Source organism: Homo sapiens, chromosome 5 (genome assembly GCF_000001405.40).
Source record: "Homo sapiens chromosome 5, GRCh38.p14 Primary Assembly".
In the NCBI taxonomy this organism is placed as follows: domain Eukaryota; kingdom Metazoa; phylum Chordata; class Mammalia; order Primates; family Hominidae; genus Homo; species Homo sapiens.
This window is the reverse complement of record NC_000005.10, coordinates 165775609-165784292: the sequence shown is the minus strand read 5'-3', so window position 1 is coordinate 165784292 and position 8684 is coordinate 165775609. Positions and strand designations below refer to the sequence as shown.

The following is an 8684-nucleotide window of genomic DNA, read 5'->3' as shown; positions in this document are numbered from 1 at the left end:
TGCACCCTCCGCCTCCCGTGTTCAAGTGTTTCCCTTGCCTCAGCCTCCGGAGTAGCTGGGACTACAGGTTCCCACTACCATGCCCAGCTAATTTTCTTTTGTATTTTTAGTAGAGACAGGGTTTTGCCATGTTGGCCAGGCTGGTCTTGAACTCCTGACCTCAAGTGATCCGCCTGCCTTGGGCTCCCAAAATGCTGGGATTACAGGTGTGACCCACCGCACCCAGCCTGTTTTTTTTTTTTTTTTTTTTTTTTTTTTTTTTTTTTGAGACAGAGTCTCGCTCTCGCTCTCGCCCAGCCTAGAGTGTAGTGGCGCGATCTCGGCTCACTGCAAGCTCCGCCTCCCGGGTTCACGCCATTCTCCTGCCTCAGCCTCCCGAGTAGCTGGGACCACAGGCACCCGCTACCATGCCCGGTTAATTTTTTTGTACTTTTAGTAGAGACGGTGTTTCACCATGTTAGCCAGGATGGTCTCGATCTCCTGACCTCGTGATCCGCCCGCCTCAGCCTCCCAAAGTGCTGGGATTACAGGCGTGAGCCACCGCGCCTGGCCGGTATTTTCTTAATTGGACACATATTGTCTTCATAGGCATGCAAACATATCTATGTTTCTGTGTTTTCTGCTCACTCTCTTGATATGCTTGTATGTACTGCTGTTCAATGTATGTCTCTTTAATATGTTTCAACATATTTAGAATATATTTTGAAATACATTTTAAAGCATGCTTAGTCACTTCATTTCTATTTCTCTTTTATGGAATGTTGATATATTTTGGCAATGTAGATAATTTTATCTTTTTGACAAATCTTTCCTCAACTAAATCACCTGTTTATTTAATTACTGTCACTAACAATTACAAGCAAATACAAAAATAAAAAAAAAACCTTCTTGGCAATTTTAAAAATAATGATTGTCATAAAACAACATATAGCCCTAAAAATAAACCTTTCTTCAGTAGTCAAAGAATTCCTAAGTTAAACTTTACTGTTCTTTACATAATGACTTAATGTTTGAGTTATGGATCTAAAGTATGCCCATAAACAGGTCACTTGAAACCTGTGGTAAGTGAGCAGTGCCCTGGCATCCATCCCCAGAATGCTTTTTAAAACTACCATGTTGGTGCTCGGTATCCTAGTGCACACACCTTGCAAGTATGGGTGCCATGAGTCTGACTACCAGTTCCAGCGGACGACTTGAATGAATCACAGCAGTTACTACTGCTGCTGGGACAGCTGCAATTGATTATCGAGCTTACAAAAGGTTTTATGTTAAAGATCATCGAAATAAAGCTACGATAAACCTTCACATCCAGAAAGACAACCCCAAGATAGTACATGCTTTTGACATGGAGGATTTGGGAGATAAAGCTATACGATACTGCCATTGTTGGAGGTCCAGAAAGTTCCCATTGTGTGATGGGGTCTCACACAAAACACAAGGAAGAGACTGGAGACAATGTGAGACCTCTGATCATCAAGAAAAAAGAAACTTAAATGGACATTTTTCATGATGCAAATCGAGTTGTTATGAAGTTACCTGATTGTTTAGTGAGAATAACTACCACCTCTGTGTAATTCACCTCCCCTGGATTCTAAATGTGGTATACTGCAATCTGCAGCTTTCACGTTCATGGCACTTGTCTTAGTTGTTGAAACATCGTGGTGCACATTTGTTTAAACAAAAAAAAAAAAAAAAAAAAAAAAAGGAAAAAGGGAAAACCAACCTCATGGCCTGTGGGTTATTTTGGTCTTGTAAAGATCCGTTTCTTTAAAGTATTGACATATAGAGTTGTATCTTATATAGAATGTAGTTGTATCTTAAAGTCAACACATTAAATTATTCTCAAAATTTAAAAAAAAAAACCTACTATGCCACTCTCCAATATTTTTTCAATATAATGAGTAAGGTGTTAACGAGGGATTGAATAGAACTAAATGCCCATTAAATAATATGGGATCGCCATTACAGGAAAAGTGTCATTATTTTGCATTTAGACCATTCCTAGCAACAATGGAGAGTCAAGGGGGTGGGGAAGGAAACTAAGGAAAGGAAGCTGGGAAAGACAGGGAAATGGCAAGAAAGCAGAAGTGGATTGTAGATGTGGGCTTTTGAAAGGAAGTGATGAGAGGTGATCCTCAACACTGCGGCTTTCAGAACTTCAGGCATCCCTGCCCCCCAAGCGGAGTGGAGAAGAGAATTATAAATCGAGCATAGTACCCTGTTATGTAGATGTTTTATTCTAACAAGGAGTGTTGCATTTAAATATAATGCTGTTTGCTTTGTGCAAAACTGAAACTGAAACATTTGTAAAGGTTTCTTTGTACTGTTTCTAATCTATAATTTAACAGATTTGTTCCGCCAGAACAAACATTTGCTGAATGTCATGGAAATGGTTTTGAAAAGTATAAGTGTCAGCAAGATCGCCTCTGAACACAACACTTGAACAAGGCAGCAACTATATACTGAACACACAGACCCACCCACAAAATGGGCAGTGTTTCAGCTATAGTCAGTATTCTTTCAAATACTTTCCTTTTTTCTGTCCTTAGGACATGCCTTCAAACTCTTCCACATATTCTGCACAAGCAAGAGGCATTAATCACACAAATCTACATGTCCATTTATCCAGAATTTTGCCTATGATCCATCCTTTGAATAACTTATACTCTTGACCTTTCTGATCAATAAGATGAATGATAAAGGCAAAGGCTTGTGGTTTACATCTTCGTAGAAATTGCCGTCTCTTCTGAGTAGTTAAAATAAATAATTCCTTTGGTGTTATTCATTGCCTCCTGCAAGCAATATTTGTATGTGTGTGGGAGCGAGATGCACTGTATCTTCTTACCTTTGATGTTTGGTCTTGTTTTGGGGCTGCTCTTTTGACAAGCTTTCAAAAGCCCCCTACTATGAATGTCGAATTAAGTGCCCTTATAAATATGCATGAACATAAACCTCATATACTCATTTTGGTGGCTACTCACTGTGCTGGGTTGCCCTGGAAGCCATTCCAAATGGTTTTGATTTTGCGTTTGAGATTCTTAATGGTGGTAATTATCTGTTGCAGCCATGCAGTACCAAATACGATGCGTGTTAGAGATACTTTAAAAAATAATAATAAAAGCGACTACAGATGCTAATTCCCACATTTTAGTTCCTACAGGGCAATTAGCCCCTAGTAATGATGTTTATATTTATATGCAAATGTTTCAGGAAAAATGAATCTTAACGGAGACTTCATATCAATACTATTGGGAGATGAGAGCATTCCATCTGTCTGTAGAAAATGCCTGCCATTAGCTCTCCATGCAGCCTATTTCTGTAATAGAAACTATTTAATCTTAAGTAATTCATTCTTCATTTTGTATTTTCCCTTCCTTCTGTTCTTTTATTAAGACTCTTAGCTAATGTACAGTATGTGCAGCTCTTCAGGGCCTACACATAGGTGTCTTGCCACATTTTTTTCTGAGTATCATCTGTTCCTTGAATTACTACCTAACATACTCACCATTACTCATTTTGAAATAATAATCAAGTAACCAAAGCAGGCTTCTCAGGGGGCACTCATTGGTTAATATCCTCTGATGTAGAAATTACAACAACATACATAGACGGAAATGTAATGAAGAAGCAAAGTTCTAAATTACAGCTGTAGCTTTTGACTAGCTTCTGGCTGACAAAAAAAAGTGCAAGAAAAATTGCTTCTTCTTGCACATGTGAGGAAATTGAAGCTTTAAGACATCTCATGAACTCCTTGTCTAGTCAGAGTTAGGGAGCAGGCTCAGTCTAGAATCAACCTCATTTTGCAACACGTTCTACTCCAAGACAATCTCAATATGGAGGGTCCTGTCATAACTAATCATTTTTTCTGTATTCTTTTTGTTTCCCCAAGACATTTTAAACTACTAATTGGCAATTCAGTTACTTGGGTAGTATCACTGAATACACAGCTTATCTTAGATATATTCTCTTGCAGAGGAATAAAGTGCACATCTATTATATCATTTAAGAATCATTATTTTGCTACATGTTTGACTGAGATCAGCAAAGAATAGGGTTTTTTTTTTTTTAGCTACTAGAAACAGAATCTCTAACTCCCTGATTACGTAAGACAGAATTGTTAACTGCATATAGAATTACAGAGTTCAACCTAATACTGTGAAAATGCTTAAGAGTTCAAATTTTATTTAGGATAATGAAAACATGGGGGAGAAAAGTCAAATAGCAGCATAGTAAGAATATGGTGTCATATTTACACCATCTCTATGGTAAAAATTCCTTTAAGAATATTAACACGTAAAGGTTAGGGTAGAAATTGGTGAATCTACTATGCTTAATCAAATTTAGGTATATGGTAATTACTTACAGCTTTCCATAGTAAAAGATGTACCCATTTGACATTTGTCTTTTTCCCCTTTAACCTAGAACAAAGAAGCAAACCACCCCCAAATTTCTAAATAAGGACCAAAATACCTCAAATAGTACTATATTTCAAAACACAGATGCTCATTGTCACTCCCTGTCAAAACCTGGAATGAAGAAGTCTGGGAAAGGGAGAAATTCAGCATCCTGCCAGTGGAAAATCTCATTAGAAACTCTAGAGATTTATCTGTCACTCTGACAAGATAATTTGATTTTAAATTTCATCACTGCTAGCCCTAATTTTAAAAATTAAATTGGAAAAAAAAGTGACTTCTTCTTCTCCCATATAATGAATAATAGGATAATATAAATCAAAATCAAGAGTGCCATTAATCAGAAATTACAAGAAAAAAATTGAAAAATTTTCGAGTTTGAGGGAAATAGAAAAGAAGTCCTCGTCCCTCACTCGTACCCACCAATCATGGAACTGGAATGAAGATCATTTAAAAGAGATTCCTTAGGCAGTTCAATTTAAAGCTTCAAAAGTTATCTTATCAATGCAGAATTTTAATACTTTCTTACAAAGTCTGGACTCTTTCAAAGGAGCAGCACTTATCCAAACCCCATCCTGAGCCTTTTTTAGTGCATCAGTATCCCAATTCATTCCTGAATGAGTGTTTCAGACAGCAGACACAACACGGTAAGATGTCATAAACATGCCTTTATTTTCAGGTGTGTTATAGTTAGCCAAGAAGCTAAAAATAAACCTTATAAAAATCCAGTCCCTTCTCTTCCTCAAGAATGAGACAAACAATTTAATGCCAGTGATTGATACACTTTCAAAAGTTGATCTACTTGAAGATCATCTTTTGCTTTTGCAGTCATATTTCTGTGTGGTATCTCAGAACTCAAGTATGCTCAGTTTCAGGGAGATCATCAAACAACTCATTAAACAGAATAGAATTCTATCCAAACCAAAATGCGACAGAGTGCCATAACTTGAGGATTGCTTTTTACATTTTTAGATGACCTACTTCATACACTTTCCAAATATTAAAATTTCTAAAGAATGAAGATTTAATGTCAGCTTGCTTGTTAGGGAATTGAGTTCAAGAAAGGTGAACGGCAGAATATTTTAATATGAAGTTGAGAAGTCAGGGGCACCTACTCTCTAGCCTCTCCATTTAGCAGGACCAGCTCTGATTGGCTCATTTTCCAAAAGGATTGCCTCCTGGAATGTTTACTTTTTCTTTAAGGGAGCTGTGTTTCTCATGCCTGGTACTTGTCACTCTTTAAGTCCTAGTTTCAAGTCTCTCCCTGCCACATTTCTTACAGGTAAATGAAGAGACAAACTATATTCCATTACTTAATAAAACATCACTGTGGTTTCCTGTAGGAAGTAGGCCAACTGTGAAATAGCCTCTCTCTTAACTGAAATTTAGAACCAAAATGCTTCACACAATTTAATATTTGCACGCTTTAGACTATCCTGGTTCTACTCTCTGGGACACCAAGATATTTCAATGATTCAGTGTATTCATATTTTTCAAAAAGTGGTCACACTTTCTACTTGGCAATCTAGGCAGATAAAGACTTTCGATAACGCTTTTCAGTATTTAGTGGTAAACGTGTGTAGATTCGTATATATGTACATGTATACGCATTTTGTGTATGTTATACAGAATGTGATACAAAATCTAATAAATGGTAATAGCTCTATCGCCAAATATGAATTAAAGAAATCGGGCTAAAAATGTGAATTAGCGTTATTCTTCTTATAAAGAAAATCCAACAGTAATTATTTTAAACATTGACCTTGTGTCTTGCCCAGATTTTAAAAAGTTAAGAAAAGTATTTACCTTACAAAGTTCTTATGGTTCCTCTCACGACTGGGCGATTTCTCGGGACACCTGCCTGAGTCCTCATCAGCAGTGTGGCTTCAACAGCAACTTCTCACCTGTTATGAAATGTTGAATTTGGAATTTTTAAAAAATCAGAATAAAAATATTTTCTTTTCAAATTTTACATTTATATGTCGATAAATGTTTAAAGATATAACTGCATATATATAGGATTTAGAGTATAAATCAATCCCACAACCTTTTTCTTTTTCCTGGTCATTTGTCACACATAATAAAACATAGATCGTGGAAAAGTAATATGAAAATAATTGCATAAAGATATGTACTTTTAAAAGGCCTTCATCAGAGATATTCAGCTTTTATTTTCAGGAACAAGCTCCTCAAAGATTTCACCTTCACCTTGAACACAGCAGTGACAAGCCAGTCAAGGTCTACCGAATCCAATTAGAGCAGTTTTCTGGGAAAGGAATTGTGCTTCTTGACAATATTAGGGCAAAATACTGTGTGAGCTGTTTTAACCGTAAGGAGGACAGTGGTAGCTACAATCATCTTTAGTCTGTGGCTTAAAACTGTGTCATAAAGCAATGACAGGCACAAAATATCTGTCAAGCTCTATTGGAACCAGTCATTGGCTGTTCCGCCCTACAGGCTGTGGGTTGTATATCCTGTTGTGTAAAATCAGAATGTTTTAGGGGTTAGAAATATTCAGAGCAGTGGACAGAGAAGTCACCATTGTCTGTCATAACTTAAGAGGGGTAATATTCTGTGAATCTTATTAAAAAAGGACTTTAAAAAAATTTACCAATTCAGAGATTTGAAAAAGGCCGGGCGCGGTGGCTCACGGCTGTAATCCTAGCACTTTGGGAGACCAAGGCGGGCGGATTGCCTGAGCTCAGGAGTTCAAGACTAGCCTGAGCAACACAGTGAAACCCTGTCTCCACTAAAATACAAATAATTAGCCAGGCGTGGCGTTGTGCGCCAATAGTACCAGCTACTCGCGAGGCTGAGGCAGGAGAACTGCTTGAACCTAGGAGACGGAGGTTGCAGTGAGCCGAGATCACGCTACTGCACTCCAGCCTGGGAGACAGAGAAAGACTCCGTCTCCCCCAAATCCACCAAAAAAATAAAATAAAATAAAATAAAATAAATAAAATAAAAAATAAAATAAAAAACCTGAAAGGTACCCACTTTTCTCTCACTCCATTACTTCAATAAACCCTGACAAATCCACCTCCTAAATGTCTCCTCTTTTGCCCCTCCCATTACACACTTCCTGCCATTTCCCTCACCATCTCACTTCCCACTAGCAAAATTTTTCTAACTGACTGCCCTTCCTCAGGCCTCTAAACATTCCAACCTTTGGCTTATTCCATATCAGAAATACTTTAGGCTGAGAATCTTAAGGAGAAATAAAATATTCTTTATGATCTGGCCTTGGTCTATTTTGCAGACTTATCTTCTGAGGGTTTCTATCCTTTCCCATTTTGAGGTCCAGCAATACCAAGCCCCACTCAGCCTACAATGACATCTTGCGTGTATTGTTCAGTACGCCCTTTCAGCCACCTAGAAAAGTTTCCATTGCTCATCTAAGCCCTATGTTGAGATGTTACCTTCTCATAGGCCTTTCCACTTTTAACTCCTGAGAAAGTTAATCTGTCCTCTAAGATGCCTCTGTAGCTCTGTCTGCAGTGCGCTTGTCTGTCTAGATGTCTATCATCCCTAATTGAATGAGAATCTTTTGGTCTAAGACCTATAGCATTTGGCCTCAGTTCTGAAATACCCAGCACAGTGCCTGATCTATAGAGGAAATGTGTATTAGATTGAATATACCATCTCTTTACTTGCTATTTCCTGTAACACTGGAGATAGTTTCTCAATGCTGGGCATTCCCAATGCTTAAAGATCTTTTGAAATTAAGTCCAGATGTGGGGCAGTAGGTGGCTGAGGCCCTAATATTTTGATTCTGTAGTTGCACAGAGTATGTCTCAAAGTGATTAAATCACCCCACCTCCATTATAGTATGCTCTCCAAAAACTGCTCAGAATAGTCACAAAATGGAATTTGGGTTCTTTAATGTGCCTTAGGAGAAGTAAGAGTTATTGGAATAAAGTTCTCAGTTTGAACAAGAAATTTATTCACATGGCCTAAAAAACCATGATTGATTAACTACCATGGATGATACTTTTAGAAGTCTATGTAGAAAAAGAAAAAAAAAATTGCTTTATTTTAAATGTCCAAGGGCCACCCAATTACACATAGGCAAGTCCAATGTATAAATTTCTTCCTCCCTGGATTTAATATCCATAGGTACTACAGGATAGATATTTGTTCTCATTAGGTTAATATTTTCACAGCTAATATTTGGTAAATAAAATCAATGAAACATCTATGCTAGGTTTTGTTTGTCCATGTTAAAGAGGGCTGAATGGAGTGAATCACCTAATTATATCAATCCTTTTACTT

At 37.5% G+C, this 8684-nt stretch overlaps 1 pseudogene; it reads left to right on the top strand.

The window, feature by feature from the left end:
- Positions 1116-1850, top strand: LOC574080 (CDGSH iron sulfur domain 1 pseudogene; annotated as a pseudogene).